Raw genomic sequence first — 26,088 nt, forward strand, 5'->3', positions numbered from 1 at the left:
ACACTTTTATACCCTGGTGCCCAGCATGTTGCTGATGGTCAATAGATGTTTGTAGAATTAGTGATTGGGAGTGCCAAAGGGAGTGGTGAGGACATGTGAGATTGTGGAAAGAATGCAAGGGAAGGAAGATTATTTGAATCCCAGTCTCTCACTTAGTGGTTAGAGTAACTTTGGACAAGTTGGTTAATGTGTCTCAGATAGAAGATGGAGATCTAGACCCATCTACTGGATAGGATTACCATAAGATCTACATAAAACTATGATGTGAAAGCACTCTGTACCTAGTAAAGCAGTTCACACACATAAGTTATTATTATGTCATTGGAAGAGTGTTGTTTCTCAGCTCTTGGATATAGCAATGTAAACCAAACCAAACGGATAAAATATATTCACCTTCAACTTTAAGGGTAGTGTCTGCATTGCATTGATATGTTCACCTGACTCCTTATAGCATCTAGTTAGAACTTCCTCTGCTCATAAGAGACAGCTATAGTCTTGTCAGTCCTTTCACTCTGTTATTTCTCATTGAAGCAATTGCTAACCAGTGTATATAATTTTTGAAAACATGGATCTTGTTTTATTTAGCTTTGGGTCCTCTATAGCACTTACTAGAGTTCATTGCATCTAGAAATGTTAAAATGGCAAGCCAAGTAGAGGTTAACATAGACATCTAGAGAAATGTTATCCAGTTTTCCAGAGAAGGCTAAATATCAAAATAGTGTTGTAATTAAATCTTATTTTTAGAATCTGATAAAGTAATTTTGGGTTACCACAGAAATCTTTCAAGTTTAAGCTAATAAAATATTAATGTCCTGGATCTTTGGAAATCTACTAATGTCTTCATTTGGAACTTCATAAGAATCAAGAATTTCACTGCATCTAAGATCCGTTTTCCACAAGTCTTAAAATCTGAACTACAGCACGTTATCTATGTGATATTCTTTCTAGCATTTCATAAACGTATTCTTTTAAAAAAATAATTATTTTATCTTGATTATAGAAGAATGGAGTCTATACCTTATTTGTAGGTGATAGAGCAAGCACCAGGCCCTTGACCCACTCTTACTGCCTCCGTTCATCATTATTTTTAGTTTCTACTAACCTTTATTGTATTATTTGGAACAAAATGGAAGAAAACCTAACTGGGTGTATAAATTTTGATGTACATTAACAATTCATCAAAGTGATATTATAGATAATGTGACTGTTTTCATAAACAAAACAGGACTAAAATAAATGAATATGCAGAAGAAAGTGTGAGAGATACTGAAATATTTTGCTGGTATAGTATATTATGCAGATGTTTGCATTTATGAGGTAGAACTAGAAAACAAAAAAACTCTATGTTATAATCATTTTTAATAAATGAATTTTTATTTCCAGGTAATTTATACCTATATTCAAGTCTTGGTAAGCAATTTAAAATAATTTGCTGACTTGTTGATCTCACCTTTCAAATAATATGCCAAGGGCCAATAACTTCTTGCAACATGTATAGATATTTATCCAAATGTGTTTTTGATAAGGATATGAAAATATTTGGGGAATAAATCCAATACTTATGCTTATTTATGGTACATAAATCGGAGTTTCCCATGAGTGACCGTAAAAATTGGAGGAAGTGGAAAGAAAGAGGAACTGAAATATAAACCAAATGTTTGTTTATGGGCTTTATTTAGAAATCCACATTAGTGATTCTGACATTGGGATATTAATCCAAAATTTCCTTTCTTTGTGGATTATTTTCACACAAAATTGTACATTCTCATGAGGCAATTCTCTTTGGAGTACCCATAGAGAATTATTACATTTTTACCAGATAGGTTCTTTTTAATATTCTAATCTAGCAAATTTGCATTTAAGAAAACTACTTTATTCCAGGATAGCTTTTTTGCACAAGTTATTGTTCTGCCCACCTCCCCTCAAATAAAACCAGCATCATAACTTCTCAGAGCTTTGTCTGCTTTCAAGATTCTTTGGCACCTGCACTGGGTTATATGCCATACCAAAAATGTTTCCCAGCCATTCATGTTTAAATACATTTAAGTTTACATTAATTTTTAAAAGGATTAAAAGCACCTTCAAAAATGAAGCATGTATTCTCTAAGCAGCAAGTATTAATTTATAGGGGCTGTTCATGGAAAAAAATGCTGTTATTGTATGTCTCTTGCCCCATGCATAATAAAGAACTTTTCTTTTTGAAAGTAATTGCTGTAAAATATTCCTTGAGGGATCAAAATATTAGTATGACTGGGAAGTAGGATCTCTGTTCTTAGGCAGATTGTTTTGTTACTTAGTTCCAAATATAAAACTGGACAAAAGTAGGTGAGGTAAGGGAATGATAGAGTGGTTAGAAGAGATCTTTAGATAAGAACATCTTTGGCAACAGGGATAGGGCCTTCACGATCTTTCTTAAAATCCTGGAGCGGCAGGCTTCACGTGGGAGGAAACCAGGGGTTGCCACTAGATCAGCTAAGAGACAAGCAAATAAGAGGCTGGGTGCAGAAAATGCTGAGTCTCTCCGAAGGTTTTTCCCTCAAGCTGAGCTGGTGTCTGGTTTTCTGACCACATGTTGTTTCTTCTCTTTATAAGAGTGAAACAACATTCCTGTTTAAAAAAAAAAAGCCAAAATGTTTGTCATCAAGCCTGACAGTGATATGGGTCCTCACTCAAATACAGTGAGACTTCTTCCTACGATATTGGTCCTGTGGAGTTAGGTCAGAAGGATGTGGTTATAAAATAAAGTGATTTCATTTTGTTTATCTCCTACTCAGAAACTTTCAGTGTTCCCCCTTTCCCGCAGTGACAACAGGAAAAGGCCCAAAAGCTTCAGCATGGCAGGTGGAGGCCTTCTAGAACCTGGTTCCAATCTTAGCATAACTTTTACCACTTCCTAACTCAAGCCTCAACTCTAGCTCAACCATTCTTCTATGTAATCAAGAGATATTCTAGGCACTTCTGGTGGGAAGTAGAGAATAAGCCAAGGCTGGGAGGGGTGAGGCCTGGGGAACTTTAACAGAGATTAGTACCCAGATCACTAAATTTGGGGTTGGAGGGTGAGGCAAAGAACTCTGGTACTGTCTACACTGACAGTCTTTCTAAGGTACCTTTCCAAGAAGAGAAGACAGTGCTTGCCTAGTGACTGTGATGGTTCAGGGATAATGTGACAATTCTTGACACCCTGCTGTTACTTTACTTATAGATCAGAACATATTCTGTGAGCTGATATATTAGATTTTAGAAGGAGAAGCCAATCCCAAAAGACAGGTAGGAATTAAATGGGGAACTCAGGATACCCAACTATCAGTTTGGTGGCCAGAGCTGGACTTGCTTTCTTGAGGAAATTATGATGAAAACCAGGGCCTGAGTCTTGCAGTCAAACTGGCCTCTGAAAGAGAGGGCTGGAGGTGGGAATGGGTGGGAAAATGGCAGCTCACTCTGCTGCCTAGGACTCATAACGCCTGGTATATCAGATACCAGAAAACAAGTATTATACTATTCCAGAGATTATCTGTCTTACTAATAGGGCCCTGGGTAGGGCAGAGCCTATAGGCTTTTAATTTTGACACCTGGGCAGGACAAGTTCTTTCAGTGACGGACACTTATCTTCCAGCACTATAATAGGCCTCATTATGGTACATATGATAAATTATCTTGTCCAATTAATTTATGCCACTTTAGACTAAGGACTGTCATATATATACATATATATACACACATATATATACACACATACATATATATGCACATATATATATATAGTTTCTTTAGGTCTTACCAAAGTATTAAATACTTTTTGAACAAATAACGTATTTTGGGGGGCATTATTCTGTCCACTTACCTAAATCAAGGATGATATAAACAATAAATACAATTTCAATAAATTAGATTTTAATTTTTTTTTAATGAACAGAAAGCCAATTGATTGGTTTCCTGAAGCTCTATTGTTTCCTCCTGTCAATGGAATACAAAATCACAGGAACTCTTTATCACTTAGATTGGAGATTACGAATGCCGTGAAGGCAAGTAACTGCCTTTCTTCTTCTAATTATTTTGGAAAGAACATATTTTTCACTAGAAAGACCAGAAGCTGGAAAGCCAAAGGCTTTGGCCACAAAACTGTGAAGGGACTCTGGATGGATGGAGGCTCCACAAGAGCTTCATTCCAAATTAAGATGTTCAGGCTACATTGAAGAAAGCAATCTATTTGCCTTGGAAAAATTTATTAGTGCTAAGAGCTAATATATGAAATATACAATCTGTATCTGGATGTTTGCATTTCTCTAAATCTTGCCCTCAACATATATATCATTTTCAATAAATGGTTTTGAGCCATAATTTTTTCATTCATTCTATATGCCAGTTGGTGTGCAGGTGGTGTTGATATAGAAATGAGTAAGGCACAGGTGCTAACATCAGGGGCTCACAGTCCTCACTGGCATCAGGTGAAGCACTGCATGCAATACAAGGACAAGTCCTCAAGCAACTGATGCATAGATTTTTAAAAAGTGGTATAGCCATACAACAGAATAGTCTTTGGCAATAAAAATGAATGAAGTACTGGTGCATGCTAAAAACCTCAGAAACATTAGGATAAATGAAAAATGCCAATCACAAAAGACCACATTTTATATGATTCCATTTATATAAAATGTATAGAATAGGCAAAGACATGGAAATAGAAAGTACATTGGTAGTTGCCAGGGGTTTGGCAACCCCACTTTGCCAGCGGAGGGTGCAGATGGGGAGTGATTATTAATGGTACTGTGTTTGTCGTAGAGGTGATTAAAACCTTTCAAAATTGATTGTGGTGATGGCTGCATAACTCTGTGAAATACTAAGAACCTTTAAATGAACGCTTCAAATGAGTGAATTGTATGACATGTGAATTTAACCTGAACAAAGGTATTATAAAAAGAGAGAGAGAGAAATGGTAGGAGGAGATAGATCTTTCAAAAAATTGTGAATTAGGGGAAGTAGAGAAAAGGGAAGGTGTTAAAAGAAGATGTTTTAATCTACATTGGTTATCAAATGTACACAACAGTTTTAAGTACACATTCTCATTTCATCCAAACAACATTGCTGTGATTTTGCTGTTATTTAGATAAGGAAATGGAAGCTTGGAGAGCTTAAGCGATTTGCCAAAATACATACAACTTAACAAGCAGAATGGGCTATTAAGGTCAGACCTGAGGAAAGCAGATCACAGTTGAGGGGGTTGGAGGAAAAAAAGAAAGAAAGAAAGAGAAAGAAAGACAAGATGAAGATACAGGGATTTTGAATTCTCTGATCCCAGAAGCTCTCATTGGCTAAATCACAGTTTTAGCACTGTTCACTTTTATTCTTTTGTAGGCTAATGTACTAAGCTAATTATGTATTTACATTTTAAATTCCTTGAGGACTAGGCAATGTCTCTATCATTTAGATTCTTCTAGGTACAGGCATCCCTCGGAGATATTGTGGGTTTTGATTCTGGACCACCACAGTAAAGTAAATATCACAATAAAATTTTTTGGTTTCCCAGTACATATAAAAGTTATGTAGTCTATTAAGTGTGTAATAGCATTATGGCTAAAAGAATGTACATACTTTAATTTATAAATACTATTAATATATTGCTAAAAATGCTAACTGTCATCTGTGCCTTCAGCAAGTTGTAATCTTTTTGCTGGTGGTGGTCTTGCCTTGATGTTGACGGCTGCCGACTGATGAGGGTGGTGGTTGCTGAAGGCTAGGGTGGCTGTGGCAATTTCTTAAAATAAGACAACAATGAAGTTTGCTGCAATGAATGATATTTCTTTCATGAAAGATTCTTCTGGAGTATGTGATGGTGTTTGGTAGCATTTTTCCCACAGTAGGACTTCCAAAATTGGAGCCAGTTCTCTCAAATCCTGCCATTGCCTTATCAGCTAAGTTTATGGAACATTCTAAATCCTTTGTTGTCATTTCAACAATGTTCACACACCTTCACCAGGAGTAGATTCCATCTCAGGAAACTCGTTTATTTGCTCATCCATAAAAAGCAACTCCTCATCTGTTAAAGCTTTATTGTGAGATTGCAGTAATTTAGTCATATCTTCAGGCTCCACTTCTAATTCTAGTTCTTTTGTTATTTCTCCTACATCTGCAGGTACTTCCTCCTCTGAAGTCTTGAACCCCTCAAAGTCATCCATGAGGGTTGGAATCAACTTCTTCCAAACTCCTGTTAATGTTGATATTTTTACCTCCTTCCATAAATCATGAATATTCTTAATGGAATCTAGAATGGTGAATCTTTTCCAGAAGGTTGTTGATTTACTTTGCTTAGATACATCAGAGGAATCACAATCTATGGCAGCCATAGCCTTATGAAATGTATTTGTTAAATAATAAGACTTGAAGGTTGAAATTGCTATTTGATCCATGGGCTTCAGATTGGATGTTGTATTAGCAGGCAAGAAAACAACATTAATTTTCTTGTATATCTTCATCAGAACTCCTGAGTGAACAGGTGCCATGCCAATTAGCAGTAATATTTTGAAAGGATTTTTTTTCTGAGCAGTACATCTCAAGAGTGGGCTTAAAATATTTACTAAACCATACTGTTTAATAAACCATATCTGTTCTATAAACAGATACGCTGTCATCCAGGCTTTGTTGTTTCATTTATAGAGCACTGTTAGAGTAGATTTAGCATAACTTTTAAAAGCCCTATGATTTTTGGAAAGGTAAATGAATATTGGCTTCAACAAAGTCATAGCTACATTAGTTTCCAACAAGAAGGTCAGCCTGTCCATTTGAAGCTTTGAATCCAGGCATTGACTTCTCTCTAGCTATGAAAGTTCTAGATCTTCTAATAGAAGGCTGTTTTGTCTACATTGAAAATCTGTTGTTCAGCGTAGTGACATACCTCAATGGTCTTAACTGGGTTTTCTGGATAACTAGCTATAGCTTCTACATTAGCACTTGCTGCTTCACCTTGCATTTTCATGTTATGGGCCCTCTTTCCTTAAATGAACCAACCTCTGCTAGCTTATATGGGTGCAGTTCATGGTGCTCCAAAACAATTATGATAGTAAATCAGAACTCACTGCTCACAGGTTATCATAACAGATATAGTAAAAATGAAAAAGCTTGAAATATTGCAATAACTTTTCTTTTGTAGCTTCCTTACTTCTTTCAGCCATCATAGAATTGAAGAGAGTTAGGGCTTTCCTCTGGATTAGGCTTTGGCTTAAGGGAATGTTGTAGGGGGTTTGATCTTCTGTCCAGACAGCCAGAACTTTCACCCTATCAGCAATAAGACTATTTTGCTTTCTTATCACTCACGTGTTCGCTGGACTAGCACTTTTTTTTTTTTTATTATTGAGACAGAGTCTTGCTCTGTCACACAGGCTGCACTGCTTTGGTGCAATCCTGGCTCACTGCAGCCTTGATCTCCCAGGCTCAAGCAATCCTCCCACCTCAGCCTTCTGAGTAGCTGGGACTATAGGTACATGCCACCATGCCCAGTTAATTTTAAAATTTTTTTGTGGAGACAGGGTCTCACTATGTTGCCCAAGCTGGTCTCCAACTACTGGATTCAAGCAATTCTCCTACCTTGGCTTCCCAAATTGCTGGGATTACAGCAATGGGCCACCACACCTAGCCAGCACTCATAATTTCCTTCAAGAACTTTTCCTTTGCATTCACAACTTAGCTAACTGTTTGGCACAAGAGGCCTAGCTTTTGCCCTATCTTGGCTATTGACATGCCTTCCTCACTAAGCCTAACCATTTCTTGTTTTTGATTTAAAGTGAGAAATGTGTGACTCCTTTCACATGAACACTAAGAGGCCATCGTAGGTTATTAATTGGCCTAATTTCAATGGTGTTGTATCTTAGGGAATAGGGAAGCCTGAGGAGAGGGAGAGAGCACCATGTACTGCACCCATATAAGAAGAGAAACCTAATCAATAAACTTTGTGTTCTGACTGCTCCATCAACCTTCCGGACAAGTCAGAACACAAGCAACATTTATTGATTAGGTTTCTCTTCTTACATGGGTGTAGTTCGTGGTGCTCCAAAACAATTACAATAGCAATATCAGAGCTCACTGATCATAGATCATCATAACAGATATAGTAAAAATGAAAATTCTTGAAATATTGCAAGAATTACCTAAATGTGACACAGAGACATGAAGTGAACAACTGCTCTTGGAAAAATGGTATGGATAGACTTGCTTGATGTGGGGTTGCAACAAACTCGATTTGTAAAAAACGCATTCATCTGTGAAGCACAAAAAGGCAAAGCAAATAAAATGAGGTATGCTTGAATATTTGGGGACCTGACTACCCATTTGCCTGTTTTGGGCAACTGTATTCTGAGAAAAATCTGAGCTCATTGGCAACCAATCAGTAGAAGTAGGGTGGCCACAGATACAGACATATGTCCTTGTTAGTTGTTATTATTTTGTAAGAGAGTATCACCTGTAGTGTCAATATGTATTACCCTGCCCTGAACTGATAACATGGAACACACATTAGCTCCAAGTTTTTGGCAGAGATGCTGTCCTTTAACTCTTTGTTATTCAATCCTCATCAAATCCTTCTTTCCTTTTTCTAATTGCACTCCTTTTATACTCCCGTATCAAATCCTTCAATGTAAACTGTTAATTCTATTTCTAAAATATATTGCAAATTCAGCCACTTCTTTTTCTCTTCTGTGAAATCAGGCCTGGCCATCTCCATCATCTTTGTTTAGGTCTTTCTTTTCAGCTGGTTACATTACTTTCAAGTCTGTCTCTCCTCTACTCCGTAACTGAAAAACTATATTTTTTTTCTATGGAAATTCCATCACATAGCTCCCTGAAGGTCCTCCTGCCTAGAAAAATTATCATCACACAATTACCTTTTAAAACACATCTTAAAAACCCAATCAGCAAATGTTTGAGGGGCTAATATGAGGGAGCTTCAAAAAGTTTGTGGAAAAAGTGAATTAAAAATAAAAATGAAAAATATAACCTTTATTTCTCAACATAAGCTCCATCAAGTTCAAAACACTTTTGTAAGTGATGATATCAGCCATTTAGTTTATCCCTAAATAACTGGGCACTCTAGGTATATAACCATATCATTGCAGTCTTTTTTACATTATTAACTAAAGAAAAATGGGTGCCCTTTACAGATTTTTAAGATTAGGAAACAAAAAAAAATCAAAAGGAGTTAAATCAGGACTTTCAGGTGGATGCCTAATAACTTTCCCTTGAAACTTTTGTAAAATTGCCCTTGTTTGATGAGCAGAATGAGCAGGAGCATCATTGTGGTGGAGAAGGATTTTCTGGTGAAGCTCTCCTGGGCATTTTTCTGCTAAAGATTTGGCTATGTTTCTCAAAACACTGTTATAATAAGCAGATATTATTGTTCTTTCACCTGCAGAAAGACAATAAGCAAAATGCCTTGATCATCCCAAAAAACTGTTGCCATGACCTTTGCTCTTCATTGGTCAGCTTTTGCTTTCACAGGACCACTTCCACCTCTTGGTAGCCATGGCTTTGCTTGTGCTTTGTCTTCAGGATCATACCGGAAAGCCATGTTTCATCTCCTGTTACAGTTATTTAAAGAAATGCTATAGAATCTTGATTCCACTTGTTTAAAATTTTCATTGAAACCTCTGCTCTTCTCTGCAGCTGATCTGGGCACAATGGTTTTGGCACCCATCAAGTGGAAAGTTTGCCCAACTTTGATATTTTAGTCAGAATTGCATAAGCTGACAAATCAAGATATCTATGGTGTTGGTTATTGTTTCTGCTGTTAATTGTCACTCTTCTTCAATTAGGACATGAACAAAGTGAATTTTTTTCCTCACAGATTGATGTGGATGGTCTGCCACTGCAAGCTTCATTTTCAACATTGTCTTGTCCCTTCTTAAAATGAGTTATCGATCTGTAGGCTGCTGATTCCTTTGAGGCATTGTCCCTGTAAACTTTTCATAAAGCAGCAGTGATTTCACCATTCTTCTTCCCAAGCTTCACCTTAAATGTGATGTTTGTTCTTGTTTCAATTTTAGCAGAATTCATGTTGCACTGATGGGGGCTCTTTTTCAAAAAAATATTTTTTATTGTACTAAAATATACATATATAATTTACCATCTTTATCTTTTTTAAGTGTGTAGTTCAGTGGTAATAAATGCATTTATATTCTATTTGTTTCTTTGACTCTTCTCCCCTCTCCCCTTCCTGGCCTCTGATAACTACCAATCTCTATCTTTATGAGATCTACTTTTTTAGCTCCCACATGTGAGTGAGACTATATGATATTTGTCTTTCTGTGCTTGGACTTTTTCACTTAACATAATGGTCTTCAATTCCATCTATGTTGCTGCAAATGACAGGATTTCATTCATTTTTATGGCTGAATGATATTTCATTGTGTATATATATGGCGTTTTCTTTCTTCATTCATCTGTTGATGGGTACTTAGCTTGATTCCGTATTTTCACTATTGTTAGCAGTGCTGAAATAAACACGGGAGTGCAGATATCTCTTTGATGTATTGATTTCCTTTCTTTTTGATATATACCAAGTAGTAGAATTACTGGATCATATGGTGGTTCTACTTTTAGTTTTTTGAGGAACCTTCATACTGTACATTAGGCTGTACTAATTTGCATTCCCACCAACAGTGTATGAAGGTTCCCCTTTCTCCACATCCTCACCAGCATCTGTTATTGTGTGTGGTGAGATGCTGTCTCATTGTGGTTTTCATTTGCATTTCTCTGATGATTAGGGATATTGAGCATTTTTTTCATGTACTTCTTGGCCATTTGTATGTCTTTTGAGAAATGTCTGTTCAAACCTTTTGCCCAATATTTAATCTGAATTTTTTTTTTTTTTTTTTTTTTTTTGCTATTGAGTTGTTTGAACTCCTTATATGTTCTGGTTATTAATCCCTTGTCAGATGGATAGTTTGCAAATATTTTCTCTCATTCTGTGTGTTGTCTTTTCACTTTGTCGATTGTTTGCTGTGCAGAAGCTTTTTAGGTTGATATAATCCCAATTATATATTTTTGCTTGGGTTGCCTGTGCTTTTCAGGTCTTAAACAAAAAATATTTGCCCAGACCAATGTTCTGGGACATTTCTCCAAAGTTTTATTCTAGTGGTTTCATTGTTTTAGGACTTCTATTGAAATATTTTATCCATTTTGATTTGATTTTTGTGTATAGTGGGAAATAGAGGTCCAATTTCATTCTTTTGCATATAGCTATCCAGTTTTTGATAGGGGCTCTTTTAAAACTGATGTCTTATCCTTCTTAGTGCCTCAAACTAGATTCTGTTCAGATATGTTATAATAAATTAGTATGAGTTTATTTTGATGCAAAAAAGTTGAAATCTATTTTTTTATAATACACATTTTTCATGAACTTCTTGAAGACCCCTCCTATTTGCCAGACACTGTTCTTTCATTGACTAATAAATAAATTCTCTCTCCTTTCTTTTTTCATTTTTCAGCTCTTGGGTTTTACAGTTTTAAAAATTAATTTTTAATTAGACAAGTAAAAATTATATGATTTGTACTGTACAAGTGTGATGTTTTGATATGTATGTACACTGTGTAATGGCCAAATCAGGCATATCCATTACCTCACATACTTAACATTTTTTTGTGGTGATAACACTTAGAATCTATCCTCTTAGCAATTTTCAAGTATACAATCTATTGTTATTAACTATAGTCAGCATGATGTACAACATATCTCTTGAACTTTTTCTAACTGAAAATTTGTGTCCTTTGACCAACTTCTTCCCAATCTCTACATTCCCTCATCTCTGGTAATCATTATTTTACTCTCTGTTTCTATGAATTTGAGTTTTCTAGATTCCACGTATAAGTAAGCTCAGATGGCATTTTTCTTTGTGTGCCTGGCCTATTTTACTTAACATAATGGCCTTCAAGTTCATCCAAGTTGTTGCAAATGACAATATTTCTTTTTTTGGTAAGGCCGAATAGTAATTCCATTGTGCCTATATACCACATTTCCTTTATCCATTCATTCACTGATGGACACTTAGGTTGATTCCATATCTTGGGTATTGTCAATAATGTTGTAATGAACATAGGAGTGCAGGTATCTCTTTGACATACTGATTTCATATTCTTTGGATATGTGTACCCAGTAGTGGGATTGCTGGGTCATATGGTAGCCCTATTTTTAATTTTTTAGCTCTATTTTTAATTTTTTGAGGAGCCTCTACACTGTTTTTCATAATGGCATTCTCAATTTACATTCTCTTCAACAGTGTACAAGGATTCCCTTTTCTACTTATCCCTGCCAACACAAATTCTAACTCTTCACCATGGCCCAGGAGGTCCTGCATGATATGGTTCCTGCCTTTTTGTCAGATTTTGTCTCATGTTTCTCTTTGCCCTTTCTCACTGCACTCCAGCCACAAAAATCCTCTTTCAGCTTCTTGTGAAGGTTTTCCTGCCTAGAGGCTTTTGTAGGTACAGTGACCTCTGCAATGAGTATTCTTGTCTCCATTCTTCTTGTCCATAGTTCGTTAGCATAAAATCCTTCAGTTTTTCAGCTTAAATATCTCCTCAGAGAAGTCTTCCCTGATCACCTAATACAAAGAAGTTTTCTGTCCCCCTCATTCTTCAGTTAGCTAAAAATAATAGAAAACCCAAAACAATAGTTGCTTACACACCATAGAAGTTTCTTTCTCTGTCATATGAAATTATAGATAACTATGCACCAGAGTGTTAGCAACCCAGATTCCACTGTCCAGATGTTCCTTTCCAAGCCTACCTCGTCATCCAGGATGGCTTCTTCCATCTGCATTTGAGTGACCAGGATAAAGACATGCCACCCCCTTTAAGTAACATGGCCACATCTAGCTACAGGGAAGCTAGAAAATGGGGTCTTTTTAAAACTCTAGACAGTCATCTTCCCAGCAAAATTAAAACTGTTATTACTAAGGGAGAGGGAGAAAATGGAAATGGAGGGATGAAGAGGAGTTACATTCCACATTTTATACTCATGGTAGAAATGGACTTTTGTACATTATTGTATCACATGGCATTTTTAATTATATAATTTTCTTGTAGGCAAATAACTTTCTTATGGGAAATTTGTGCTACTCTTAAGCAACTGGCTTGTTTTCCTATTATGGACATTGTGAATCTTCTGCCTGATTATGTTTTGCTTTTTGATTTGTTTGCCAGGAAGTTTGTAGCTAAATTTATGGTCCTCTCCAGCAACTACACAAATCCTATGATGGATATTTTTTCTGATAATATTATCTGTAGCGTTATTTTATTTTACTATACTTTCTTCCTTTCTTTCTTTACCTTCTTCCTTTCTTTTTATTTTCTTCAATGTAATTTTGCAAGTCTCTTCAAATTCCTTTGGTAATAAGTCAGGAAATAAGTAAAACACAAGTATAAATAAATAAAGTATTTTATATTTAATGAAGGTGATAAAAGTGCCTACATTATAGGGCTGTCGAGAGAATCCACTGAGTTAATGTAAGTAAAACATTTAGAGCAGTGCCTGGCATATTGTAAGACCTATAGAAATGCTAGTTCGTTATTATTATTATTTTAATTAAATCTTTCCTGAAGTGACTGTCAGATAAATCTGCTTGATAAGACAGTTTTACTTTAACTTTTGTTCTAGGTTAAACAAAGAGGGAAAGATTAAAATATACATTTAAGGACCACTCAGCAACAATCATTCTATGTCTTCATATTCTAATCTACATGGCAGCTAGTAAATGCATTGTGCTGTGTAAGATAATGTGCTAAAACTCTTAGTGGAGATGGCCTCTAAATTTTTTATGTTTAGTATTTAGGCATCTTGTAGATAAAATGTATGGATGAATAATCAGATGAGGATTCAATGACCAGAAGTACTGTTGCTCTCTCTCCATCTCTTTCTGTTAGAAATAGATCTCCATCAGATAGGTCTGTGTTTGAATTTTAGATGTACTACCAACCACACTATGTGACCTAGGTCAAGTCTCAGCTTTCATGTCAATATATTTACCGATGGGTGGCAGTAATACCTATCATATAGGGACATAAGGATTACATTAAATAATACATGTTAAGATCTTTGCATGGTTCCTGGCCAGAGTACACATACAATAGCTATTTCTGATATCATTATTTTCACTCAAGTCTTTTAAATTGAAGAATTATCACCTTTTAGCACTTGAATTTATATTGAATCTATACACACATCATTTTTTTATTTAAATATTTGAAATCCTTACCCTACAATCCAATGGAAATTCTGCAAATGTTTAAAGTTTTGGACTCCATGACAAAATTGTATAGATAGAATAGTGGTTTTAAATATGGCTCGGGGATTACAAATGGTCCACATGGATCCTTGGGAATGAATCAAGCTACGAGCTCCTATAGCAATAATATTTCTATTACCATAGCGTATGTGCCTAAGTTTCTGGTGTGGATTAATAAATTATTACTGTTGTTAAATGGATGCCTGGTTTTCTTAATTGGTAGCTCATCAAAAGCTTATTAAAAACTTCCTATTCATTTTGTTGATTTCAGTGGTTGGGGATAAATGGCCCAGGAGGCTCTTTGCCCTGCTAAAGTGGATCATGAACAATGTGGGATATTTAATTCAATTCAATTCAGCAAACATATTGAATTCAAAATATGCAAAAAGCATTGTGCTACAAATTGTGACAATATCAAGGGACATCCCCTGTGGTGGCCTTCTGTTATTTGGTACCCAGGATCCATTTTTATTCTATTTGGGAACTACAGCCTTGGCCCACTCCAAGCTATGTGGTTTGGGTAGGATTGGCCCCTTACCCAGGTCTGGGGGTGGAATGGCCTTGCTTGGCTTAAGGTAGTCAGCATAACCCTTTCCTATGGCCATGGTATTAGATTTATGAGTGGGCATATAACTCATGAATCTTTAAAAGACTTGTGCCTGGGGCTTCTGAAAAAAAATGAAGTCTCCTCTGTCTTTGCAGTGGGAACTTCTGGAAAAGATACTTTCTCTTTCCCTGGGCCTATAGTTAGGATGTAAGGTATAGGAGAGCCTGCAGATGTTTTGGGGGAGAACACCACACAGATTTTGAATATGAAGCTAACACCATGGGTTTGGAGTCGGTCTGACCTGGATTCAAATCCAAGCACTGTCACTTTCTAGTTTGGTAAGGTATTTGAGCTTCGTTGTGCCTCCATTTTGTCACCTATAAAATGTGGCTAATGCCCTTACTCTCTCCTCCTTAAAACTATTTGGTACTGGCTTTTAATTGTAACAGAATTAACATCAATAATTGGATTTGTGCCCATCAAGCCAATGAACTTTCATAAAATGAAATCCAGAAAATTTTCATGTAATTCATAGAGTTCTTATATTTAACCCATGTCTCTAGAATCTTCTTCTAGTGACAAATTATGTTGTATTGAATCATGTGAAACTGAGCCAAGTTTATCATTATTTAGGGTAGAAATTCTGTTTTGTTACAGTAGTTTCACTCAAGTTTTACTTCTCTAAGAAGAACATAAGACACACTTAAAATTTTAAGCATATCTACATAAAAAAGCCCAGTTTGTTATACCATTTTCATAGAGTTATTTTAGCCCTCTAATATAGCACTGTAATAACATTTTGTACTTGCTACAAACATAAGCACACTAGTTTCTATCATTTTTGCCCTTGGTTTATAAAGATGGAATTTAGAAAGCAAATACATTTAGGGATGAAATAGTGAAATCTGCTGAATGTGTGTAGAATTATTAAAGAGTATAACATGGCTGCTTGTTTTATTTAGAAATGACATTGGGTGGGTTAGCTAACCAAAGCTGCCAATACTGTATTTTAATGATCTTGAGTTTATCTCCTATTTACAATTCTTTGTCATTTAGTCTACAGGTGTTAGATCACTTAACACTTGCTGAATTCTTCAGATTTGTTTGTTTCCTGCCGTTTGGTGTTGATCATTTTGATGTGTGATAGGAGGAGGAAGTAGTTATCTAATTTTCACTGAACAATCTTCCCTAAGGTATCACATATATTCATTCTATATCTTCTATCAGTCAGCCATAGATTGTGAAAAACTTTGATAGAAACTTTAAATTCAGAGCCCCTGAATTAGTCAGTTTTCACTCAGTAATGCTATGATAACAAACAACCTCCAAAATCTCAGTGGTTCACAAAAACCAAGCTTTAATTCTTGTTCTGTATATATATATACATATATCTGCCGATTAGTAGTGCCTTTGCTCCTGCCTCAGGTATCTTTTTTTACCCCAGAATGCAGACAGAAGGAGCAGCTTCCATCTGGGACATGCCATTCTCCTGGCTGAGGGCAATGATCTCTCTTTTTCTTTTTTCTTTTACTTTTTAAGTTCTGGGGTACATATGCAGGATGTGCAGGTTTGTTAACATAGGTAAACGTGTGCCATGGTGGTTTGTTGCACCCATCAGCCCATTACCTAGGTATTAAGTCAAGCATGCATTAGCTGTTTTTGCCAATGCTCTCCCTCCCCGTACTCCACTCCTCAACAGGCCTCAGTGTGTGTTGTTCCCCTCCCTGTGTCCGTGTGTTTTCATTGTTCAGCTCCCACTTATAAGCGAGAACATGCAGTATTTGATTTACTGTTTCTGCATTAGTTTGCTGAGGATAATGGCTTCCAGCTCCACCCATGACCCTGCAAAGGACATGATCTTGTTCCTTTTTATGGCTGCATAGTATTCCACGGTGTATATGTACCACATTTTCTTAGAGACAATGCCAAATCTTGCAATGGTCCTTAAAGCTCCTGCTCAATTATGACTGTATATCATGCGTATTCATATTCCATTGGCCAGAGAAAGTCTCTTGGCCAAGTCCAAGCTCAGTGTCTTTGACTGAGATATCGCAGTTTACAAGGCAATGGGTGGGCATGAGTTTTAAGAGGAAATAATGGAACATATGTCATAGGTCTGTTTTGGACAGGGCTACTGGTGTATTTTTCTCTTATGTCCTATTCTTCTGCTGTTTTTTTCTCCAAAAACTCCCTTCCTTGGTTCTCTCATCCACCCCTCCATCACTTCCTCTGTACTCTTGGCTGCCAAGTAGACCCATGGAGCCTACTCCACTTTTCTGTCCAGCCTGATGTAGAATCTTTAGGATATAGGACCTAAATTATTGCTTTAGTAAAAACTGGAGCTGTCTGATGTTATAAGGAATAGCTCTACTCTGAGCCAAGTAGGCTTGGTATTTACTGAAGTCATATCCACTTTGTTTTATTCCTGGTAATTTGGCTTGAAGTGAAATTTTAAATAAACCAGATACTTATTGCTTATGCCCACTAAATATATGTCCACAGCCCTTAAATAACTACCTTTGTCTTATAGTGCTTTATGGAACATAGAGCAATTTTACCACCATTATCTCATATGATGGTCACAAGAAGCCTGGTGATGCCAATATTATTGTGATTCCCATTTCACAGGATAAAAAAAAGTTAAGTAGCTTATTCAGGATCAAAAGGCTGGTGAGCTTTATAGCCAGCATTCAAGCCAGGGTATATAGTGATAGGCATTTCTTGTTATTGACAAAGAAATCCTCTGCTTTAAGCATATATCGAATAATGCATAATGTAATAAATACCCTGTTTTTTCAAAAAAAAGTTACAGAGTAAGATGTTGGCTTGTTTCACTGAAAATATTCAACTTAAAATTTTTAGAAATGTCTTATTAGTTTTGAATGATCTGATGACTAAATTTCAGTTTATATAAAACTTTCCCTCATAAAACAATCATTACACAGTTTGGGCACTATGCTTGCTGGAGTATAAAACCCCATTGCAGTAAACAGTGTGTCATCATGCTGTTACTGAAAGTGGCCTACTATGCTTTATCTCCACTGCCCTGTCCCAATCTAAGCCACTGTCACCTCTTACCCAGAATGTGGCAGTAGTCCTTTCAACAGTCCTCTATACCTTTTCTGACTTCCTCCAAGCTTTTCCTCAAGCTGAGCCTAGTGATATTTTTAACTGTGAATGTGAATTTGTCTGACTTCCCTATCCTTACCCAAAGTCCTTAATACAAGTCTCCCATGTGATATCACCCTGCAAACGTGGCCAGCCTTCTATCGTCATTCTCTCCCTCAATTTCTGCTTACTTTCTCATCTTAGTCCTCTCTCCTACCCACCCTCCAGCCAGTGTCTCCTAGTCAATTGGCACTCATTTTTCCCATCCCAGCTTCCCAGGGAAGCTAGCCATGACCCCCAGACCATGATAACTAGCCCATTTTAGTCTACTGTAGCTGGCAACTCACCTCCATATCCCACCCATTGCCACACCTGGATTTTCCTCTGTAAATACTGCTTGAACCTGACTGAGGTGCATTATGCTTCCTGCTGCTCACTTTACCAGGTTAGATGACAGCGGTTTTCATGAAAGCCGTCCCTCACTCACGCACATTAGTCACCTTTACAAGGAAACACCCAGTGATTAGAGAGAAAGCAACCACCATGTCAGCCATGCTTCAAAGCAACCATATTCAAAACAAGTTGTTTTTGGAAAAGAGTATATTTCATGTTTTAGAGTATAAATGTTCCCTGTGATAATTACTATAAGAAATCAAGATACTCCAGTCTGAGTGCCTGTTCATGCTGCTGCAAAAACAATGGGAAAAGTTTGGATTTTAAGGCAATCCAATTTCTAAGGACCAGAAGCAGTCTATGCTTATGGCTGCTTATTGCTAGTTGGGTTCTTATAAACCTGGAGTGTCCTACATTTCATGTTGAATTGAACATAATGGGCCTGTGATAGGCACCTCTCCACAAAATAACAAAAGTCTCTGTATAAACTCAATATTTTAGAAGTCAAAGTAGACAGGATACTTTGCTTGTGGCTTGTCCTCAGGTATCAGTACAGCAAGTGGCTCTCAGCACACCACCAAACAGGGCAGGCAGCTGGCTCTCTAGAGATAATTATAATTTATTGTGCCCATGGATTTTGATGCAGTGGGGTCTGGGCTCTCTCACAAGGCCAACAGAGCAGGTCTAATTTGAGCCAGATCTCAGGAGACACAGTCCGGAGAGGATGGGTCATGTGCCTTCAGTTATCACTTGGAGTTGCACTTTGCCCCTTGTTCCTCTTTCTCTCAACTAGTAGCTGAGTTTTAATTTTTTTCCCTGAAAATTTATTCAGAGAGACTGTTTTCCTTTTCTTCCTGGAATTCACAGAATGAAGATGGAGGTCCATAAATACCTTGGTTAAAAGTTGGAAGATCATAGAGTGTCCCACTGTCTGTTTTGGGGCCTGGCAGGAATACTCCTAATCACTGTAAATGAATAGGTGTTTCATCTATTTTTGTCTTCTCTTCTTTGTTCTCTACCTGAAAATGTCCTTCCCTCATTTTCAGGCTACTGAAATCTTCTAAAGCCTTCTTAAAGTTTCTTCTTTATAGGAAACTTCCTAGATTTCTTCCTTTAGTCAGAATTAATGCTGATTTATGTTCTCTCATGAAATTGTACTTTGTACTTTCATTTAGTGCTGTGACTGTTCTTTTTAAAGTTATTGTTTACTTATTTTTTTCTCCTCCAGATTATACAATCCTTAAGGATAGTACTGGAATTTCCTCATCTTCCTATTGTCCACATTGCCCAGCGTGAAATTTTGGCCCAGTAGGAAGGCTATACATTTGTTGAATTAATTTTGATCTGTAAGGCATATTCTTCCACGAAAAGGACATTGCACAATCACAATATTCTCCATAAACAAATGGACACTCAGAAAGAACTGTTGTGTTCTTTTATCTGCCTTCCATGAATGTGCAGTTTCCTTACCACTTCTCCATGGACCTAGTTATCTTGCATAGTGCACACATTAGAAGATTATGTGATAAGAGTAGAAAGCTAGGTTTCCTTTGGGTAGGGCTAGACTATTTCCTGTTCAGAGGTGAAGACTTCTGAAATCAGAATCAATTTTCTAAAACATACCACATTAAAATAAGACCATAGACACGTTTTTCTGTCTATAAGTCTTTTTATTTTGATGGTAGAAAATGTTGTAAGATTATTTCATTATCTTCTTATTGTTAACTGTTTTGGGGAAGAATCAAATCAGGAGAGACTGAGATTGGAGTCTTTTTATCAAATTCTCTATAGACTACATGATCCGTGCCAATACCACAGCAGTCAGCAGCTGTTGTCTGTGCTAGGAGACCACAGTAGTAATTACACACAGGTTAAGTGGCTTAAAAAAATTGATCGGTTTTGAAAATTAGGTGTGGAAGATAGAAAGGAACCTGAGGATTTTTATAATATTTTTGTGATATAATAGACTATAGCCAAAAGAGTTACTTTATAGTGAGTATTTTTAGCTTCAGTCCCACATTCTCTTCAGAAATTAGTATTATAATCCTTTTCATTACTCTAACCGAGTCTGATGACTCCTGTCCTAGGATGAAACACCCCTCCCAACTCCCTTATTAAGAGATTGGGACCTAGTGTGATTAACAGCACCCTGATCGATGAGCAAGATTCTTACAGATTAAGGAAAAGAATTGCTGACAACTTAGGCTGACTTTTATATACCTATTTGTTTTCCTTCCTAATTCCTCTTAAAATGAAAATGCCAAGCTTTTCTTTTGATATTTGTTACATTTGTGAAATAATATAACAATGCAGTTAATGGGAAGAGCATGACCCCTGGATTCAGATATCCAATAGTTACAAATCTCAGCTTCAGCACCTAGCAGTTATGTGAACTTTCTTCTCTGCACCTCAGTCTCTTCATAATAACTACTTTGCAGAGTTGCTGTGAATATTAGTGTAAATAATGGACATTCAAATATAGCTATTACTGTTATTATCATCATCAATTATTCTACCTATAGAAATATGCAAGTTCCTTGGAAGTATACATTTCTGGAGAGTGATCAGGGATGGGGTATTATACTTTTATTTTTTCGGTTTCTCTTCATTCATTCAGTGGGTTATGGGTATGTGTGTGTGTGTGTGTGTGTTTCACACATTATGTGCTAGGCACTATTTCAGGCACTTGGAACTTACATTATTGTAGGGGTACAACTGGAAACTGATAAATGCTGTAAAAAAAATTAAACAAGCTAAGAGGTACAGGAGGTTGGGAGAGAGTTGCAATTATTAATAGGGACATTAGGGTAGGCCTTACTGTGAATATGACACAGGTTTTGTGTTCTTAGAGGTTTTCATGAACTATCTTTTGGAATGGGAGGATGGGAAGAAGGGAGATGAGAGTAAAGAGTAAGAGCTTGCTGATTTGTAGGCAGGCATGAATATTCCCTTTGGTATAAGGTGTCAAAACACAAACTAATATGGAAGGGTAAAATTTTCTAGGTGGTCTAGTTTTATTTTATTCCATTTGAGCAAAAATCTTCCTAAAGTATTTTGTACACACCCTGCCTTCCCAAACAATGGCTACTGAATACAGTGGCCCACCTTGTCTGTGACTGCTGGAGGAGGTCATCACCATGGCTCACATCTGTTATTGGACTTTCATGAAACAAGTCCCTCAGGGCCAGAAGAGATGCTGTCATCTGTTTGTCCTATGCAATGGCCTGAGCCTGCAGTCATTGTGAGTTCTACCCACATGTGGCTATTTAAATGTACGTATAAATTAATTGAAATTAAATGACATTAAAAATTCAGATTCTTAGTCAGTCTAGTCACATTTCAAGTGGTCAATAGCCACATGTGGCTAATGGCTACTGTGTTAGCACAGATATCAAACATTTCTGTCACTGTAGAAAGTTCTCTTAGTGTTAGTTATTTTATATGTTTCTGACTCCAACATTGTTTTTTGTGGTACTGTTGTCAGTTTTCAGACCTTATTTCCTCTTTTTGATTTGTTGTTTCTCATAGCTGATAGGTTTAAATGCCAGATGTAGAATTTTGTGTAAAGTAAGGGTAACCAGGCTCTAAGAGATCAGAAGAGCTTTCTTGTGTTCAAGTTTTTGTACTTGGAATTTTTATTTCTATTCTGAGTGCCCCAAGGCCTCTTTTGCTTGGTTATTGTTCTGCAGCTGTACTGTAGGTGTAAGGGAATCAGACTGCTGAGTTCCTATGGGAGAAGGGCTATCAAACTTTAAAGGTAAAACTGAACATTCATGGAAATGCTTTAGATCCAGTCAGCAGTCTCTTATTTGGAGCAGCACAACTCCAGGGGTGCTTAATGACCAACTGGCTACATGTACGCCAGGCACTGGGTTAGTCCCTTGACACACAAACAAGAATGAACATGGACCCAAATGGAGGAAATTACAGTTTAAGGGGTAGAGAGAGTTTCATTAAGTCAATTCCCAGATATGTCCCAGGTACTCTGAAAGTCCAGAGAAGGGCGGTACCTGATCCAGGCTTCCCTGATGTTACAGGAGACAAGAGGCCAGGGAATGCTCCCTAAAGAAGTGATTCTTGAGTGGAATCTTGAGGGATGCATAGGTACTGGTCACATGATGAAGGTGGGAAAAGGTGTCTGTATAGGTAGGTGTCTATACAGGGAAAAGTGTCTGTATAGGTAGGCAGACTTTGGATGTTGAAATGATGGGTTTTCGGCAGAAGTGGAAATGGGGAAGAGGGGTTGGGGATGCTGCCTGGGGCAGATCTGACTCTTCAGTAGTTTGACTTGTTCACTCTGGCAGCTCTGTGAAGGTAAAAAGGAGCCAGGCTGGAGGCTGGCACACCGGTGGTATGGGAGGGCCAGGGAGTAGAGACCTGTAATAGTTCAAAAGAGAGGTAATGAGGGCCTGCTGTGAGAGTGTAAGGGGGTTGAACAGAGTTCATGATTTCAATTGGTATTGATTTCTAAGGAGTAAAATTATCAGTATTGGGGGATTGATTACATATGGGGGATAAAGGAGACAGAGGAATCAGAGATGACTGTGAGTTTTCAGAAAAACAGATTAATTTAAACTCTTCTTCCAAGTTCACAGTGATAGGTTTTGACCTGTAGCTGCTACTAGTGATTTGCATTGGCAACTGTGGTGTCTAGATTAGGTTTTGGCACTTTAGGACTCCACTCTCTTGTTTGTTAAAAACAAAACAAAACAAAACAAAAAAAAACTTGAATGGAAGCATAGACCATAATGAAGTACCACCCTCGTGTGACTTTAATTTCACAGTGGCCTATGAAAATTTATAGAAATTTGGCTTCATTTCTAGTGGCTCCAATCCGGATGCCAAAATTGCCCTATTGTTGCGACATCCCTTGAGTGGACTATCGAACCTGTTATTCATTAGGAGCAGCTGCAAACCATCAGCCAAGTTCCCATACTATGCCAACAATAACGCCAGTCAAATTTCAAGGTAACTCCAGGTTTCAGAAATGTATGAATCTCAAAATCTGTCTAGCCAAACTCTTATTTGTATTTTTATGTATGCATATTATATGAAAAAAGCTGGTGGTTTCCTTAGTTTCCATAATTATACATTGCTTCTTTTAGACTATAAATTGAGTTCTCAGTGTTGGTGAAGGCATACCTATAGATCTTAGCCAATCACTTTAAAGTGAAAATAGAAATTCAGTCTGGATCATGGTACCAGGGGTAGCCAGCCCAAAGGGCCCATTATGATGAGGCCTATATTGAAAGCAAAAATTCTTGCATACCTGTAGTGCATTTTAAAAGGATTTTCCAAGTAACAGTTAACATTTGTTAAGCTTTCAGAAAAACTTATTTCTCTAGTTTTTAATATTAAGGAAATATGGAAATATATGTTGATACTTTGTTTTTTACTGACATACTTCATGACTGCATGGCTAAAGCCACAAAACACTAGGCACTTACCACTTTCTTTCTTTTAGATATATTTAGCCACTGCATCTGGCCTTTGTTGCCAAATATTTTTTCCCTTTTACTCTAACTACTCCATCAATTTGGATCTTTAATGGTCAGGCAAATTTTGAATGATTTCTTGGAAGATGTGAAACCCTGTTCCCTAATCAGGAAAATGTGGGCAAGTCTTATGGTATGAGAAAAGAAGGGACATCTCTTCTAACAAAGACAACAGGATTATAGCGCCATTACACAACATCTTCAAAGTTTTTATTTGAAAAATAATGATGTGTTTGGTGATGAACAAGTACCGTAAATGGGAAGCATGGGAAGTTTCCACTCTTTAAGAATGTTTCTATGCAAAGGAGGAAGGAAAGCTTACTTTTTGTGGTTCTTCAGAGAGATTACATTAACCATTTGTTGAAAGTTTCATTTATGAACAACATTGGCTTCTAAGAGTATTCTTCACACACTGGCATCCTTTGTATGATGTTGTTGTAGGTTGTTTAGCAACATATCAAAATAGTTATATAAAAAGATTAATATGTGTTTCATTAATCCTAAGGAGAGCTTTCTGAAATTCATTTTTAAAAATAAATGATTAGCATCATTCTTTGAAATTTGTGACTTCTGAGGGTGGGAAAGAATTAAAAAAGAAGCTATCTTTTCAAGCAGTTTGTGATTTAATACCAGCTGGTCAAGTGAGTTGAAAAACCTTATGATTTTTATGTTATATTATTTTGAATGCCTTTTCACTCTCTTGGGAAGTTGGCTAACCCCACAGTCCTTTTCCCATGGTAAATGGCTCTAAAACTTTGATCTTCTTATACCAGTTTGCCAGATGTAGCAGAAAGAGCATGTATGTGACCTTTCCTGTGCCAATTCAACCCAGCTGATGGGAAACTGTAAGTTAATCTTGCATGACTTTTATTTCTAGGCATTACAGCAGAAGTTCTGGTGGTGACCTCTTTCGATGAACTGCAGAGAAGGGCCTCAGAAGCAAGAGGGAAGATTGTTGTTTATAACCAACCTTACATCAACTACTCAAGGACGGTGCAATACCGAACGCAGGGGGCGGTGGAAGCTGCCAAGGTGGGGGCTTTGGCATCTCTCATTCGATCCGTGGCCTCCTTCTCCATCTACAGGTTTGTCACAATGTTCATTTGAATTCCTTTCAAAAACAAGGGTTTTCCGTGAAGGAAAAGTCCTTATGAAGTAAAAACAAACCATTCAAATGAAAATACTTATTGTTCATGGAGTTTCCCCCCCAAACACACACACCCATTCCACATTTGGTCATTTGTTTGTAATATCTTCTTTGGCTTTTCTGGATTCCAAGCATCACTTGTGCATTCCTTTAAAAAGCTTTAAGGCTTTTCACATCCACAGTGATCCCATTACATTCCTTATATAACTAATATATTATGTATTTTCATTGGAGGAAGAACTGCGTTCATGTCTGCATTTCATCAAAGATTCCTAATGACTTCAGAGGGAGCCAGCCTGTTTTCCATGTTGCTAGAGAAGTGGAGTAAAAAGAGAGTGGGTGACATGATGGGGGCCATCTATGGTATAGTGAAGAGTTAGGGAATTAGAGGAACTTGGATACAGACTTGGCTCTGCTCCCAAACAACTAGGTGGTCTTAGGAATGTTTCTTAAACTTCTCTAGGCCTCATAATTTTCTTCTGTTAACCAGGGGTAAAGAATAATAATAAATGTACAAAATAATTTTGAGATTAAATGAGGTCAACTTGAAAAAGATACTTAATTATCTGTAAATGATTATCTACAAAGGTCCATATAAATATTTGGTAATATTGTTTGAGAGTAACATAGGACTTGTCTTTTTCTTTGTAGTTTTGATTGAGGTAATGCCAAATAACTTTATTGGCCCTCAGTCCTAGGATGAAATTCAGTATTACAGTGGATAAAAAGTCTAAAAACTGAGATGTAGATGTTCAGCCTAGTTTAATAGCTATTATGGCAGTGTCATACGTTAAGGATAAAATATTTGAGAAACATGGGGAAAAGAAGCATAACTTTAGTGTGATAGCCTGGCCTAAGATTTTTTTAAAATGCAAAAATAATAGCAGATAGGGTTTATTTGGGTCTCCGGATTGGATTTTTAATATCTATTGGAAAGGGAAGTTTATTTATTCTGCACAATTGCTATTTGGAACTGGAGACACAGCTGCTTGACCTTAATTAGCACCCTACACCCCTGAAAATAAAAATAACTGGGGAACATATGTCAGCAGCTAGGAAATCCAGTCAGAGGAAAGTTGTACAAAAGTGCAGGGAAAAGGAAAGAGACATTTTCCTTATACAGGGATAAGA

The 26,088-nt window shown here is 36.9% G+C and overlaps 1 protein-coding gene across 1 annotated transcript in view; it reads left to right on the forward strand.

The window, feature by feature from the left end:
- CPQ (carboxypeptidase Q) overlaps positions 1 to 26,088 on the forward strand; it is a 498,260-nt gene that overhangs the window by 165,044 nt on the left and 307,128 nt on the right. The window contains exon 3 of the mRNA NM_016134.4: positions 24,688 to 24,895. Within this exon, the coding sequence (NP_057218.1) occupies positions 24,688 to 24,895 (208 nt within the window). The remainder of the gene's footprint in view (positions 1 to 24,687; positions 24,896 to 26,088) is intronic.

This window comes from Homo sapiens, chromosome 8 (assembly GCF_000001405.40).
Source record: "Homo sapiens chromosome 8, GRCh38.p14 Primary Assembly".
Taxonomy (NCBI): Eukaryota; Metazoa; Chordata; class Mammalia; order Primates; family Hominidae; genus Homo; species Homo sapiens.